Here is a 16,387-nt window from a genome sequence, read left to right on the forward strand (position 1 = left end):
TAAAATTTTCAATTCTCCTGAAAAGAAAAATTGTATCTTGTTTTTGTGAAGCCATTTCCAGCATGAAAACAATTCCATTTGACAGTGTAAACTGTCCTATGCTTAGCTGTGTGCTTGCCCTGCACTCCCTCCCTGCCCCCAACTGTGTGAAACAGATGCCTGCAGTGACACTGCCCATCAATCACCCCACAGGAAGCAGGGCACAATTCAAAACCCCAAAATGCAGAAACGTGTTCACCTGTGCCTTCCACACAGTGGTGGGGTAGGTAGGAAGCCTAGGGTATTACTTGGAAAACAAGCAACATTTTAAGACAGATTAAGTGTAAACTTCTTTGCTCTTTTCTCTGGCATAGTTTTGAGAAATCACCACTAATTGGATACATTGTAATGTACAGATAAATTTTCTTCTTTTTTACTATCTCATTTACAATTTAATATCTAACATACAAAAGTTGATCAAAGGCACAAAAACACTAGATAAAAGGTTGAATATTTAATACCAACCCTTCTGAGTTAATTACCAGATCCTTGTTTTTCAGTAGGAGGCCAGCAAGTTAGGAGTTAAGATGAAAGGAGTCCTAGATTTAACCCCAAAAGACCCCCCTTCAATTTTAGCCAGGTCAGGCCCACAAAGAGATGTAGATGTAAACTGATTATGATGCTAAGTGTTTGACAGGGATCCTCTTTGTGTCCAAGGCCAGTCAAAACTTGAATAATAGTATTTCCGACAAAAAGCTTGCCCCCTTTGCTTTTTAATGGTTCATTTTAATTATTTCTATAAATCTGCTTGAGAAATATTAAGATTCTGATTGTTGTGGACTGGTTTATTATTTGCTACCATACCCGAAGTATTTGCCTTCTCATTATAGAAGCTTAGTGCAAAGAACTGTCCAGAGCTAGTTCACTAAACTAAGCACACACTCGATTTCCAAGGGGAGCAGAAAGGGCTTTACCAATTGCTAAGTCACCAACATGTCCCTTTGCCCATCTTTCTATGTCCTACAAAGACTTATGTGGGGTGTGCACATAGTATTTCCCCAGGGAAACACACACACACACACACACACACACACACACACACTCTCTCTCTCTCTCTCTCTCTCTCTCTAATATTGTTGATTGATTAGGTTTGTTTGGAGACTGCTTAAACTGTGTGTGTTATGGTTTCAAATTACTGTTTGCTCTTCTAACTTCTTAGAAGGGTAAACAATTTGAAAACAGTTTAAACCCATAGCAAAAGAAACTGGCATCTGACAAACTCTTTAACTTAATTCCTCTTATTAAGACTCATATACTGTTTTCTGGTGGTAAATAATGGAAAGAAATGATAGGTTTTGATGTTATATTTTACAGCTATTTTTCTCCTCAAGGTTTGAATGTTATAACAGCCAGACCCTACACAAACACCAACCAGTTTTCTAAGCACTGAGTCAATTGTAAACTAAAAAGAGCTCTAGCTGGAGGTTTTCTGGGTGAAAGCTCAGTGATATCTACAGTTTTTTTTTTCTTAGTCTCCTCTTCCATCTCCAGCCTCTAAAACACACACACACACACACACACACACACACACACACACACACACACACACACGAAAAACAAATGGATGGACAATTTGCTCTAAGGAAATACAGTATAGATAGGCAGGCATGAGAGTCATCACATTATCTTACTACCTCATTCCTGTATGTTGGGTAAAGGTTGTCTTTAATCTCTCCTACCTTCAAACAAATCAGGCACTATTGTTGACAAAATACCCCTATTTACTTCTGGCAAGGCAAATGTCATTGATGCTACCTTAGATACTAACATCACATGTGGAAGCATTTTCTATTTTAAACTTTCAACCCTGTCTTTACAAAAAATACAAAAGGTAGCTGGGCGTGGTGGCATGTGGCTGTAGTCCCACCTACTTGGGAGGCTGAAGTGGGAGGATCAGTTGAGCCCAGGAGGTTGAGGCTGCAGTGAGCAGTAACTACGCCACTGTACTCCAGCCTGGGTGATGGAGCGAGAACCTGTCTAAAAAAAAAAAAAAAAAAAAAAAAAAAAACTTCAAAAATCACTACTTAGCATTCAGAAAAATATTTCTCCCTTTTCTCCCTCTTAATGATCAGAGCCTAGTCATTACTTACAGTATTTAAAGGCAACTTACTATTTAAATTTCTTAGCCTTCAAAAATGAAGTATTGGCTGGGTGTGGTGGCTCACATCTGTAATCCCAGCACTTTGGGAGGCCAAGGCAGGAGGATTGCTTGAGGTCAGAAGTTAGAGACCAGCCTGGGCAACACAGTGAGACCCTGTCTCTATTAAAAAAAAATTAAAAATAAACTAAAAAAATCAGAAATAAAGTATTATTTTTCAGTTCAAAAGTTGTTTGGGGCCAGGCACAGTGGCTCATGCCTGTAACCACAGCACTTTGGGAGACTGAGGTAGGAGAATGTTTGTGTCACTGTACTCTAGCCTGGGCAACAGAGTGAGACTCTATCTCAAAAAAAAAAAAAGTTATTTGGAAAATTGCCAGTAAGGTATTTGATACAAATTTGCATTTTATAGTAACAGTAACAATTCTGCTGATTTTATTTTGCACTTGCCACTCTTTGAAGGAAACAAGGTCAGAGGATTGGCAAGCCTTTGCATTTGTCTGCAAATCTGTTTAACCATAATGTGGACAGAGTTTGTTTCTTTCTGCAGTTTCCAATTTTAAAAGGCAAAGATAGCCTAGAATCTTAATACTGAACAACTGATCTAATCAAATATATATTTTAAGAAGAATAACGATTAAAGATTAAGTAAAGATCTCAGTCTGTACCCTAGAGGGCCCATGAAGTAGCTCATGAATTAGACTCTTACTCCTTAAGCGAATACTAAAAGTCTGTTTTACATGGATTCTGAAATTTGATTCATTTTGAAGGCTTTGTTTAGTTGTTCCTAATGACAGATTGAAATACAAAATACTTGATGTAGGAGAAACTAAAAGCCTCTCTGGGCCAAGGAGGCAGAAGCCATAAGAATCAAAATAAACTGGGTGTAGGAAATAAAGCATTCTGGAAAGGGCAACCCAGGGAGAGGGAAGAGCAAGCTGCAAATCGAATCAGGAAAACACAGCAGTTCTTCTGCAGGGCCTGGTACCAGTGCCTGGTACAGACCCATTTTCTGGGCCACACTGAGTTATCTAACACACTTTCTGGGAGGTTTGGCCTGGTTGGAAAAGTGAGAGCTGGTCACACTGCCCACTGCTCAAGAGGCCTGCAGTGGCAGCAGCGCCACCTCCAAGCCACGAATGCCAGTAGCTGGGCAGACTTTGGGCACACTGGGCTTCAGGAGCCTTTCCAGCCTTATTTAAAGGCTGGTTGGCACATTTGGGGGATACAGATGGACAATCAGCATATTAATAGATGAAGAATAAATTGTCTTCTAGATTTTGCAGCTTTAGATCCAATCCATCAAGATATGAACTCTATTGAAGAGTTGCGCCATGCTTCATTCAAGCACTTTTTGACCACATCCTATGTACAATTTGAAAAATAAGAGTCAAAGTAGGCCAGGCGTGGTGGCTTACATATGTAATCCCAGCACTCTGGGAGGCTGAGGCGGGTGGATCACAAGGTCAGGAGATTGAGACCATTCTGGCCAACATGGTGAAACCCTATCTCTACTAAAAATACAAAAATTAGCCAGGTGTGGTGGTGCATGCTTGTAATCCCAGCTACTTGGGAGGCTGAGGCAGGAGAATCGCTTGAACCTGGGAGGCAGAGGTTGCAGTGAGCTGAGATCGCTCCACTGCATTCCAGCCTGGCGACAGTGAGACCCCGTCTCAAAAAAAAAAAAAAAAAAAAAAGTCAAAATAAGCATGACATATTCAGGGGCAGTACGTCCCACTGCTTGAGTGAAATGGGACGCATCCAATTGTGGGAGATAAACGTAGGATGCTGCCGGATTGTCAGACTGAAGAATGCTGCCTTCTTCCTGTAGGAGCACATGGGAATCTGCAGAAGGTTTTGAAGAGGTAGGTAGTGTGATGAAATCAGACTTTTAAAAACAGTGACCTGACAGCAGTTTTGGGATGGATTTAGGAAGAAGAGAGAAGCAGAAAGAACACCAAGGTAGTGGATGTAGGTATCCAATTTAACTTCTCTAAGCTAGGAAATCAGAATGCTTATAGGATCATGGTGAGAATTAAGTGTGGTGCCTGATATGTGGCCAACAGCAGATAAATACTTGTTCCCTCTTCCACTACTTGGGGTTACTGCAGTGATGGTGCATGTGAAAAATAAAACAGGTTACTTGGGAAAGAGCAGCAAATTTAGCAAATACTTGAATTTTAAAGAATTTAAGAGAGACAAGCAAAGGAAAAGCTAGGATTTCAAACAGAAAAACCAGGTCTTAGGTAAAGAGGGGGAGGTGGTGGGTGTGGGAAGAGTACTAGTTTTGAGGGAAAGATGAGTTGATTTTTGGATATTTTTATTTGGACTTGAAATTTTACAACGATAATATGGATTCAAGAGTCCCTGACATTGAAGAGAAACCCGGAGATATACCTTGAAGCTCAAATTTCCAAGCCCCTCATTTTCCCTGGGCCCTTCCAAGGATACATGTCTAGTATTATGTTTGTAAGTTTTTATTGCTTTCCTTTAAGAAGTTCCCCCAGGAGTTATACAAGCTTCAGGTCCCACGACATCTGGATGGGTTCAGTTTGAAATCAGAAGGTATTTCTTTGGGATACTGGGAGATCGAGAGTTGGAAAAACCTTGTTACTGTCCTCAAAGGAAGAGAAGGGTCAGCAGAGAAGTCCAGAGAAGCATAGAGAAGGCCTTAGGGTAGGATGCTGCCAAGGAGATCAAAGGGATGAGGGGCTGAGAATGGGTCACCAGACTTGACTTCTCAAAAAGTAACTGTTTTAGAGTGCATGCTCAATACAGTTGGGGGGAGGCCCACTGTCACGGGGTTGAGGAGGGAGGAGTAGGCAAGGGGTGTGGACTCCCCATTTAACAAGGTCGACAGTAAGAGAAAAGAAGATGCCACTCAACTCCTCACTTTCGATCTGCTGTAATTTAACTTGAGCCTGAACAGTCAATATTCCTTTGGGATTCATATTAGCTCCCTGAGCATGACATTGTCTTTCTCTTTATTACATTTTCTTATTCCTTAAGATTTTAAGATTTTCTTAATTGGATCCATTTCTCTTCATGCACCATCAATGGCCAAGAAATGGGCTATTGGCAGGCACAGTTTTGGTTTTGGGGTTGATTGGTTTGTTTACACTAATAGTTTCTCTTTCTCGATCCAAGGCTTGACCAAGGAGGTCAGGAATTCTGTCCTGGGAGTTCAGGGACTGAGGACCAGGATGGAGGAAGCAAAAGGCGTCAGGCATTAGGCTGGAAACGTCTTGGTCGGTTATCTAGGATCAAAGAGTCAAAGGTAGCGATGACTTCATCCCCGTAGAGGGCGCCTCCCTACCCCGACAGTGGATTTTCGGTCAGCCGGTTTGCCCGGGATGTTTTCTTTGACTACTTGCTTCTCACTGGCGCCCCAAGTCACTTTGAAGAAAAAAAAAATGTGATTAAATCGATTCCCCTGTTTCTTTCTGTGAGGAGTGTGCCTTTCCCAGACAGCGTGCGTTCATTCGATGAGGCCTGGCAAAATTTTTGAGGGGTCTTTTTACGCTTTAATACAACCTAAAGGTTTCTGTTACCATCATCATTGAGAATTAAAAACAAAAACAAAATAAAAAACGGTAACAAATTTACAGCTTGGCAGGCCCCAGGGAGGAGCTGACCTTTGCGAAGCTCTAGCGCAGCCAGGTTTCAGCTGTAGGGGTTGGGACAGGTCAGTTCGCCCAAGTGCTGCTAGCTCTCCAGGGAGAAGCAAGTGTTGGGGCAGAGGGTGGTCTGGCGCGTGCGTCGGGGGGCGTGTGCGGGTGTGTGTGTGTGTGTGCGCGCGTGTATATAAGAGTGTGTGCGCGCCCGTGTGCACAAGAGAGGGTGCCTGGGAGGCTGTCGCAAAGGCTCCTTTGTGAAAGGCACTTGCAGGTTCAGAAGCCAGCTTGGCGCCTCCTCTCGCCCGTTCCCCGAGGACACCTGGCTCTTCTGGGCAGCCCAGCTATCTCCGTCTCCTGCCGCCCCTACTTCTCTCGGTGGCCCCCGGCCTAGCCCCGCACCAGCCTTCGGGTGCGGGAAGCAGTGTGCCCCGAGGCGTCTCCCCCGGGGCCCCGCGCAGGTGAAGGTGAGCGCGTGGCGGTGACGGTGGCGCGCGTAGGGTGGAAGGGGAGGCGAGGGAGGGGCGGAGCAGGAAAGGGCGCGCTGCCCTTCCCGGCCGGCCAGGAGCAGCGAGGCCGCAGCTTTGTTACCTGAGGCTGCCGCTGCGCCCCGCCCCGCCCTGCCCCCTCGCGCTCAGGGTTGGCTGGGCCTGCAGTGACCGGGAGGAGGCGGCTACGCCGACACAACGGCGGGAGGCTGCAGCGGTCTGCGCGCCGGGAGCGGGGGCGCGCTGGCCGCGGGTGAGTGCGGGTCGGGCGGCCGAGGCGGGGGCGACCGCGGCGCGGGACACGGGGAGCTGGAGCCCCGCCGCTCGGGAGGGTCAGGGTTGGGGTGTTGTCCGGGACCCGAGGCTGAGGCGCCGAGAAGCGCGGCTGATGGGTGCCGGGTCTCGGCTTCCTCCGAGCCTCACCGGGAAAGCTGGAGAGGAGGTTCCAGTTCCCTCCACATCCACCCCGGTGACTTTGGCGGCCGCCCTTACCCGGCCACGGAGAACAGCGATCGGTCCCTGGAGGCGAGGACGCGCCGGTGTGGACCCGCGTCTGGAGAACGAGCTGCATCGCCAAGGCTGCTGCGGGTCGCACCTGGGCGGTTGACTATTAGTCGTGGCTAAGACTTTCAGATCAACCGCCCCCTAGTTTATCCCGACCCTTGGGAGACAGCGGCGTCCCGCACGGAATGCGCAGCCGCGGCGCCGCGCTCGGTTCCCTAGCCAGCCGGGGGCCACGCCTGGCCCCTGACACAGTGGTGGGGCGGTGGCGGGGACCTAGTGCGGTGGTGCGGACCGAGGACCAGGCGCTTCTCGCCCCGACAAACTTGCTCCGGCCGCGCGAAGTTCGGATTGCAAGTTGCGCCCCGCGCCTGCAGGAGTGTGGGGAGGGGGAGGAAGCGGGTGGGCTGGGGATCAGCCTCCAAACAAGGGGTGTCCCCAGCTCTTGGAGAGCGGGTTCTGACCGGTTTCAAACGCCAGGAGTCTCCCCTCTGTTTTTCTCAGCGGCTCGACCCGGCTCCCTTTTGGCAGAGCCGCAGTGCGGCCGTGAGGCTTTTCCCCCGCGCCTGCGACCTGGATGGGGGACGTGGGAAGATGTCGCGGCGGAGGCTCCGGGTGGGTTGGGAGCGCGCGGCCGCCGCAGACCCGGTGTCTGCGAGCCGGAAGACCCCCCCTTTCGTTTCATTCACACGGACACCTCCCCTAGTTAGCCGTCTCCCACCCAACTTCTGGGCGCAGCGTGCTAAACCCCCGCAGAGGGGCTGGCGCCCTGGGGGGCGTGGCGTGGGGAGCGTGGGCTTTCCAGCGTGGGCCCCTCGGGGAGGGGGGCGGGGCCGAGACCCCCTCCAACTGGAGGGGCCGGGAATGGGCGAGCGGGTGCGGCGGCCGACCCAGCAGCTGCAGCCGCCGGACGGGAGAGCGGTCGGCGCTGCGGAAGGCCGAGGGTCGTGCAACGCCCGCGCTGGGCGCCCGCCCCGCAGTCCCCGCCCCGCAGGCCGCGGCTTCTCTCCCCGCCGCAGAGCTGGCGCGGCGCGTGTGGGCGTCGATCTCAGCGCGCACCGGCGCCCCACCCTCGCGCCGCGACGCCCTTCTGCCCGGCGCTGATAAGGACGCAGCTGGGGCTCCGCGCGGCCCGTGGGCCGCCCACTCGCGTTCAGTTTGCTGACCCCAGCGCGGCTCCCCGGGGATTCGCGGCCCAGCCGGTGGCGGCTGAGCCGGTGGCTTGTTGGTGAGTGGCTCGGGCGGGGACCGGGGTGCCGGGTTGGGGATGTAAGGAGGCTGCGGACAGCTGTCTAACGCAGAGAGCTGGTGAACTACTACGTATCCAAACTTGAAAGAAGTGGTGTCCCAGGACCCCCCAGGCCGAATTTCTTCCGGACTTAATGGTCGGTTTTCAAACTTCCGTGTGGACAGAAACGACCTCCGGGATTCGGCCGTCTGTGACCCCCTTCAACTGACCCACAGTTGTCTTCCTGGAAGGAGCAGCCGGCGCTCCCTTCCCTCTCTCTAGAGCATCCTTTGGCACGCATGTGCTTTTTTTTTTTTTTTTCTTGGTTTTGGGACAGTGAGAGAAACTGAAAATGAACATTCAAATACAGGCGTTTTTCCTCTGCTCTCGGGTGTTGGTCTCGGGCGCCTATGAATATTTACATTGTGCTGCAGATTGAAGGCGCTTACTGGGAACGCGTTGTCCTGGGTTCTTTCACTACTGCCTGGAGCACAGGCAGACGGAACTCACAGAAGAGCTGGACGGTCCGGCTCTGGCCCGACTGCGTAATTGTACCGACTGACATTCTGTGTTTAATAATCAAGAAAGCTTTTGAAAGATAAGTGGTGGTGGAGGAGCCTTTTCCCGAATTAGTGGAGTGGGAGTAAAAATTCCATAGTTTAGAATTGTCCGTACTTTCCCCATCCTTTTCTTCTCTCCCAAATACAATAAAATAGGGCTGTGTGTTTCTCTACCTCTGCTCTCCAAACTCGGCTTGTTCTACCCTGGTTTGTCATCAGAAGCATGTGGGCCAGCCCTTCCTGCCCCCACCTCTTCTGTGGCACATGCCAGGAGTCAAGGAGAAAGGTTTTCTGGCAGGTTTTCCTTGATGTTCCTTTTGATTATTGTTGACCAAAGGAGTGAGTGACCAGCTGAGCACCAAGACCCTCATTCTGAGCACCAGAACCACTGGTGCAGAACCACTCATTCTGAGCACCAGGACCGCTGGTGCAGAACCACTCATTCTGAGCACCAGGACCACTGGTGCAGAACCACTCATTCTGAGCACCAGGACCACTGGTCCTCGTTCAGGAAAGCCCTGAGCTCCAAACTGACGGCCAGGAACATGCTCTCCCCTTAAATACACTGTGAGATGAAGCCTATATACTCTTTTTTCTTGGCTCCCTTCAAGAGACTAGAACGTCTTTTTTTTGGTTATTGTTGTTTTGTTGTTGCGACGGAGTCTGGCTCTGTCGCCACGCTGGAGTGCTGTGGCGTAATCTCGGCTCACTGCAACCTCCGACTCCCTGATTCAAGCGATTCTCCTGCCTCAGCCTCCCAAGTAGCTGGGACTACAGGCGCGCCACCACGCCCAGCTACTGTGTGTGTGTGTTTGAGTGTGTGTGTTTCAGTGTGTGTGTTTGAGTGTGTGTTTATGTGTGTGTGTATTTTAGTAGAGACGGGTTTCACCATGTTGGACAGGATAGTCTTGATCTCCTGACCTCGTGATCTGCCCACCTCGGCTTCCCAAAGTGCTGGGATTACAGGCGTGAGCCACCGCGCCTGGCCGAGACTAGAACTTCTAGGGGTGTTTCTGACACCAAGGAAAAAGTACAGCGGGCTGTTTAGGCAGGAGAGCTTAGGAGGGGGCCAGGGGCAGCTTTGAAGACCCTTAACGAACGTTCTAAGATTTTTTGTCTGCCAATTAACTAAAAGTTAAGTACGTGATCACAGCATCGCCTTATTGAAATTTCACATAGTTGAAAGATGCTCAACTGAGCTACAGCCTCCTTGGGAGAGTCCATCACTCAAACACAACTCTGATGGGTCATGAGTAGCACTCAGGGGACTTGAGGAGACATTCCCATCTTCAGAGCCCAGCCATGACAGCTCTGCATTTTACTCAGAGCTGGGCACTTGTCAGCCTTAGCAGCTACCTCATCCTGTTGCTGAGGTTTCCAACCTGTAGCTGAGATCTTACATACAGGCCTGTCTCTGTCTGCCCAGGGGCAGATTGATGGGACTACTTAGCATTTTCCAGACAGAGTGGGGGCTAATCCCATTGTCCCTACTGGCAGTTGTCAGCTGTGAGAAACAGGCAGCCAATGTGGTCTGTTAGGGCTGCAGCATCACCTGCGTTCTCCTAGCGTACCTGGAGAGTGTGTGTTTGCATCTCTACTGCGGGCAGTACTGCAGCAAATCCATCGTTCTTTTGTGTATTCTCTATTTTAATTTCCATGTGGCTGTGGAAAGGGTTAGAATTCTGTCTGTACTCCACTTTTCCTGCCACCTCTTTCACATTGGACATCCTGGCCCAGGGGGAAACCCTATTGGAGTAAAGGTAGTAAAAGCATTAGCGTCTTGGCTAATCATTGCTGGCGAACCTATTCATTAGAAGCCGTTGGGGGGCTAGGATCCTTGTGTGTTACCCTTGGAAGAAATTAATCAGACAGCATACCAGGGACACTGTTGTACATTTTCTTTTGTTTCCTTTAACTTTTAAAAATAACATTCTTTTACATGGGGCATTGGTTAGAATCATCCCAATGCAGAGCTAACAAGTGTCACTTTTTACTTTGACAGTCGTTTATCTGGTACTTCCTCTGTGCAAAGCACAGTACTAAAACACGCACCTTTCTGGCTTTGTTGTTAGGAGACAGTGAGGTTGCATAACCTTGGAGTATATAGTCTTCCTTAGTCTTTGTCAGTATCTCTGTATTTGCATTGTGAGGTTTAGTGGCGCATCTGTCCATATACAGCACTGAATGAGTTACTGCTTTCTAGATTGGAGACTTTTTGAGCTTATCACCATTCTTAACAGGGATAATCTATAAATAAGTCAGCATATCTGGAATTGGAGGTAAATTGGAGGATTAACAGCTCTTCTATACATGAGATATTTTATGTACAGAAGTATTTTAAAATATGTAAGGATAAACTGCCAAAATTACCTGCACAGTCTTGAAAAAGAAGAGTTCAGATATAACTATAAACTGTAATTGACAATGAGTCATTTGCTTTAAGGGTGCCAACTATGAAAACAGCCTAGTTATGCCCCTAATGATAATTATGAAAACTCTTTCTAGAAGCCAGTTACATCTCAAGTGAGCTGTATGTCAGCTTGGAAAAATATTTTCTATTTTACTTATTTAAAAATTATTTGGTGGTGATGGCTGCACAACACTGTGAATGTACTTAATGCCACTAAATTGCACACTTAAAAGTGGTGAAAATGATTTTTTAAAGTATCCAATTAATAGCTGGAGATGCCATTTTCCTCCCATATAGAGGCAGTTTTCAGAACTCTAATATTCAAATGTTTCACTAAAATATTTGCTTTTGTAATATGGAGACAATTTAATAGATGATCACCAAGCATTGAGAAAGGACAGCTCTCACAAACTTTGATAGCAAAGAATGGAAATATTACAAGTTTGTTCCTAGCAGCCAGGGGTAACTTGGCATTTTATCTATAAACCCAATACATATTTTAAAGCAAATGTAATGCCTGTGAAAATAAAGGGAAATTATATGCACATATGATAACAGCTTGTTATTGTTATAAATAATAGCTAACTATGTACCAGGCATCTTGGTAAGGACCATACATGTGTTAGCTCTTTATTTTTATACAAACCAATGGAACAAGTATTTCCTCATATTGTAGATGAGGATGCTGAAATGTAGGTGACGTTACCAACCTCAGCTCATGTTGCACATCTTGAAAGTAGCAGAACTTTCTGAGAAAAAGCAGTCTATTCCTAGAATCTCCACTCTTATTCCCAAGGCAGCCCTGCCTTTTGGATGTAGTTCTGTGTAAATCATTTTGTAATATTTGAATTTGTGAGATCAGATTGTTTACTTCTGTGTAGTCTAAAATTATTTCATCAACTTGTGTTTGTAAGTATGGGCTTTGACAGTGGTGCTGTAAAAAGAAAATTACACCCCGAAGTGCCGTGTAAAAAGCCATTGTGTATGGCCCTTTGTGATCTGGAGGAAATAGTCCCCTTTCCACACTCCCATCTAGTTGGGGTACTCACTCAATAGCCTGCATGGCGTCCTTTCTACACCCCACTTACCTGTTCTCGTATCTGAAGAAATTTAGTAGTTTTGACCTCTCTTTCACATCAGATCGGTAACAGCCCAGCATGAAAAACAAACGTGAAGTTCCATAAAAATGCAACCCACTAAAGTAAGTTGGTGACTGTGTATAAGGGACATGTGGCAGATGTGACATGGGCAGCGTGTCCTTGGGCGTATCTCTTCTTTGCTAAAAGTGTCAGAAGCAGAAGAGGTAGGTGATGGTTTCCAAAGAGTGGCTTAACTAGAATCTAAGATGATAGAGGTCATTTAATGTGTTCTCCTAATTTTACAAATGAGAAAACTGAAGTCTGGTGAGGCAAAGTGACTTGTCTAAAACTATAAGCAGTAAAGCTTGATTTAGGGCTGGAATCTCATTTTTCATATCTGCTGTTCTTTTCTCTATTTGGGGGAAAGCCACATCACCAAGTAGAGCATAAATATGGTGGCCCTGATTCCAGGGAAATGAGCTAGGCCATTATTATATCATCTCCAAATGCCCTGTCTTATCCGTCCAAGGTGCAAGATGCCTTTTTTGACCCACTGATTGGTAGGAGACATGTCCAGACTGGAAAAAGGTAGGGTCACTCATGCCTAATGCTCCAGCAGTTTGGGCAGTTTCCCTAGGGGTTGGGCAACCATTGTCCAAAGAGAACGAACTAGTTAGTAAACAAGTAGTTTATTCATAAAGTGAGCAATACTTACTGAGCCTCTAGCAGGCTCTCAATATAAATGTGCTTTGTTGATTAATATAAGGTTTCCAATTGGATTTGTTGCAATTTCTCTGGCAGAATTTCCAGGTGGTAAAATTTGATTCACATTTAGAAAAGCGTTGGGTCCTTGTAATGCAACTTGGGATGTGTTGCCCCTCATTGATTTTCATATCCAACTCATATGGGAGGATTGATACTAGCCTCTGAAGGGAAATGCTGATGCGAAACTGTTTGTCTGTAACTGATTTGATATTTATTTTATCTTGCTAGGTTTGGAAGAGGACAGTTGCCCTTTATTCTGGCGGCAGATAGCAGCAGGTGAAAAAGTGCTACACAAGTTTGATGTTTGTGTCTTCTTCTCCAAGGCCAAGAAATTATCTCCATAGGAGGCAACAGTACTATGCATGTTATGAATTGTGTCTCCTTGGTCAGTGATAAAGAAAATGGGAATATTGCCACAGCACCTGGATTCATGATTGGGCAGACACCTCCTCCAGCACCTCCTCCACCTCCTCCTCCACCCCCTCCATCTCCACCATGTTCATGTTCAAGGGAAGAGTGTCCTTCCTCCCCTCCTCCACCCCCACCACCTCCACTTCCTGGGGAGCCTCCCATCCCACCTCCCCCACCAGGCCTACCCCCAACTACTCACATGAACGGCTACAGCCACCTTGGTAAGAAAAAGCGGATGAGAAGCTTTTTTTGGAAAACTATTCCGGAGGAGCAAGTTCGAGGCAAAACCAACATCTGGACCTTGGCAGCCAGGCAGGAACATCACTACCAAATTGATACAAAGACCATTGAGGAGCTCTTTGGGCAGCAGGAAGACACCACCAAGTCTTCCCTTCCTAGGAGAGGAAGAACTTTAAATTCATCCTTCAGAGAAGCTCGAGAAGAGGTAAGAATGCAAGGTGGAGGGCTAATCCTCCACACACTGCATTGTTTTGTGTTTTGGGATGTGTGTACATTTCAAATAATTGCTAGACACCCCTAAGAAATGAGATAATACAAGCGAATCTGCCTTGGAAATGCTAGGCAGGGTCTTTACGATGAGCTTGAGCTGAGTATTGAGAAAGCGTAAGAAGTATGCGTGCTGTATCCTCCCAGACGCCCTGGTGGATTATGACCTCATGCAGAGAACATGCTATTTGGGATCACTGCCCCTATCTCTAGCACATCTGCTGAAGGTTCCCCTGTTGGAGAATTCTGCTCAAGTCCGGATTGTTAGTCTCTGTTGAAACAAAAACTGAGTTTCTAAAATTGGTTGTCTGGAATGAACTAGAGCTGACTGGGGCAGACTACCTTTTGTTAAATAGCATCATCAGCTGACGTCCATCCTTAGGATTTTACCCTTATTTTCTCCTCTAGTTTTTATATAACAAGTGTTTCTAGATGGCCTTCATTCCTCAGATCTCTGAACTAGATTATGGCCATTGGGGAACAGAGGCTTCCAAAGAGACAAAGCATAAAGCTGTTTTCAGAGAGATTGTGTAGGAAGGATGTTTCTAGTTAACACTAAATATGTTACTATGAGAAAAAATAAAGCTATTAAATTACAGGAAGTTAACTGAAAGCATGACCCCAGAGCTGCAGATCACCATGTATTACAGAAACTGCATCAAAAATTACATTTATAAGTATTGTCAGTTTAGAAACTTGAAGAAACCTCTACCTGCTAGAAAAAATAAATAAAAATAAAAAGGAAAGAATGCTGCCCCGCCCACATGCACACACAAAGCACAACAACAACAACAACAACAAAACAGAGAAAGACAACAGAAATTCATCATTTAAAAATCTGTCATAAAGGAGCAGAGAAAACAGGTCAAAGATGCAGTTGATTAGATAAGAGAGTAGGCAGGGCCCTGGGATGGAGTAGCAGCTCCATGCATTATTGAATTCTTGAGCCAACAATATTGACCTCTTTTCTCTTTCTCTCTCTTAACTCCTTCTCTCCACTAATTCACTGGGGGGCCCTTAAAGCTGATTGTGTGATCTCCTGTTGAAATAGCCAAGAGTCTGTTTTTTATGAAATGCAGAAAACACTGGGGTTAGAATTCTTGAAGTGTAAACTATGGCATAAATTTGAGAAGGAAATCTTCATGAGAACCCTTAGTGCCGTCAGTGCTGAACACAGGCTTGCCTGTCTCTTCCTTTTATGCAAAGTCCTTTTATTTGCTGGAGTATCCTTTCAATATTGGAAGGAGCAAGAAGTCATTTCCTTAGTACCCTGGCCTTTGCCCCAGCTCCCAACAGAGGTTCTTTATTGTACAGTAGGTCATTTCTCACTATTGTCTGCCAGCTCTCTTTACTGAAATTCAGGAATACTGAAGTAATTATTGGGTGGACCCATGTGGAAATGAGGCCTGTGTCTCAGCAGAGCACCTGTAATAGAAGAGGGCTAGCTCACCGTGTCCCGGGGAGGCAGCTGTCAGGCTAGAGTAGGTGGCATCGTTTGTGAATTGGGAAAATTTCAAGAGGCTAAGGGGAACTTGCTGCTTTATGTTTCCACATTAAAGAGAGGTTAAGAACCACTCAGAGAGAGAGAGAGGAAAGTGGCAGGGGTGTGGCATCTTTTCTCAACTATGATAGAAGCAGAGATGTCCATTTCTAAACCAGATCTGAAATTCAGGGAAAAAAATAATCTTTCTCTTGCCTTCCTCCACCCCTGCACCCTATGCAGATTTTTACACTTTTGTCATTAACTTATTTTTTAAGAATTATGTTTTTAAATGGTTTAAAAATTATTTTTAATTGTGGTGAAATAACATATAAAATTTAGCATCTTAACCATTTTTAAAAAGTATTTATTTTTTTGAGACAGAGTCTCATTCTGTCACCCAGGCTGGAGTACAGTGGTGCACTCTTGGCTCACTGCAACCTCCACCTTCTGGGTTCAGGACATTCTCATGCCTTAGCCTCCTGAGTAGCTGGGATTACAGGGGCGTGCCACAACACCCAGCTAATTTTTGTATTTTTAGCAGAGATGGGGTTTCACCATTTTGGCCCGGCTGGTCTCGAACTCCTGACCTCAAGTTATCCGCCCACCTCGGCCTCCCAAAGTGCTGGGATTATAGGTGTGAACCACTGCGCCTGGCCTAACCATTTTTAAACAGCTTGTTGACATTAAGTACATCCACATTGTTGTGCAACCATCACCACCTTCCCTCTCCGGAACACTTTTCGTGCTGCGGAACTGAAACTCTGTACCTGTTAAATCAGAACTGTCTGTTCCCCTCTTTCCCTAGCCCCTGGCAGGCACCATTCTACTTTCTGTTTCTATAAGTTGGACTCCTTTAGGTACCTCCTGTAGATGGAATCATATCATATTTGTCTTTTTTGTCACTGGTTTATTTCACTTAGCGTAATGTCCTCAAGGTTCATCCGTGTTGTAGCATGTGTCAGAATTTTAAAGCTGAATACTATTCCATTGTATATATAGACCACATTTGTTTATCCGCTCATCTGTTGATGGACAGCTGGGTTGCTTCCACCTTTTGGCTTTTGTGAATAATGCCGCTGTGTACATGGGTGTACAAAAATCTTTGCTTTTAATACTTGTAGGCCCTAGTCTGAGAGACAACATACTAGAAAGAAAAATTAAATCACCATGACTGTGTATCATAAGATAATCTAACTTTGCAACT

General features: G+C 46.3%; 1 protein-coding gene and 1 long non-coding RNA gene across 7 annotated transcripts in view, besides 3 other annotated features; one reads left to right on the top strand and one right to left on the bottom strand.

The window, feature by feature from the left end:
• The window catches only part of FHDC1 (FH2 domain containing 1), a 68,333-nt gene that overhangs the window by 18,579 nt on the left and 33,367 nt on the right, over positions 1 to 16,387 (top strand). For 2 of the 6 annotated variants that reach the window (NM_001371116.1, XM_047416337.1), the window contains exons 1-2: positions 6,406 to 6,492; positions 13,011 to 13,638. In NM_001371116.1, the coding sequence (NP_001358045.1) occupies positions 13,141 to 13,638 (498 nt within the window). In that variant the 5' untranslated portion in view covers positions 6,406 to 6,492; positions 13,011 to 13,140. Of the gene's footprint in view, positions 1 to 5,969; positions 6,219 to 6,405; positions 6,493 to 7,885; positions 7,969 to 8,292; positions 12,606 to 13,010; positions 13,639 to 16,387 lie in introns of those variants that run through there. The other 4 variants (XM_011532389.2, NM_033393.3, XM_047416335.1 and 1 more) reach the window with 4 other exon arrangements.
• Positions 440 to 734: a silencer, noted in NCBI's record as "tiled region #1071; HepG2 Repressive non-DNase unmatched - State 22:ReprW". NCBI's record gives its function as "represses a minimal TATA promoter and a strong SV40 promoter by Sharpr-MPRA in HepG2 cells {active_cell/tissue: HepG2}" and the evidence as "EXISTENCE:reporter gene assay evidence [ECO:0000049][PMID:27701403]".
• LOC729870 (uncharacterized) lies at positions 4,599 to 6,920 on the bottom strand. The gene is made up of 2 exons (NR_136614.1): positions 6,732 to 6,920; positions 4,599 to 5,533 (listed from the first exon to the last, which is right to left on the bottom strand). It is a non-coding gene; the product is annotated as an uncharacterized LOC729870 (long non-coding RNA).
• Positions 6,362 to 6,451: a silencer, noted in NCBI's record as "silent region_15753". NCBI's record gives its function as "represses an Ori minimal core promoter by ATAC-STARR-seq in GM12878 lymphoblastoid cells {active_cell/tissue: GM12878}" and the evidence as "EXISTENCE:reporter gene assay evidence [ECO:0000049][PMID:35858748]".
• Positions 7,784 to 8,043: a silencer, noted in NCBI's record as "silent region_15754". NCBI's record gives its function as "represses an Ori minimal core promoter by ATAC-STARR-seq in GM12878 lymphoblastoid cells {active_cell/tissue: GM12878}" and the evidence as "EXISTENCE:reporter gene assay evidence [ECO:0000049][PMID:35858748]".

This window comes from Homo sapiens, chromosome 4, assembly GCF_000001405.40.
Source record: "Homo sapiens chromosome 4, GRCh38.p14 Primary Assembly".
Classification (NCBI taxonomy): Eukaryota; Metazoa; Chordata; class Mammalia; order Primates; family Hominidae; genus Homo; species Homo sapiens.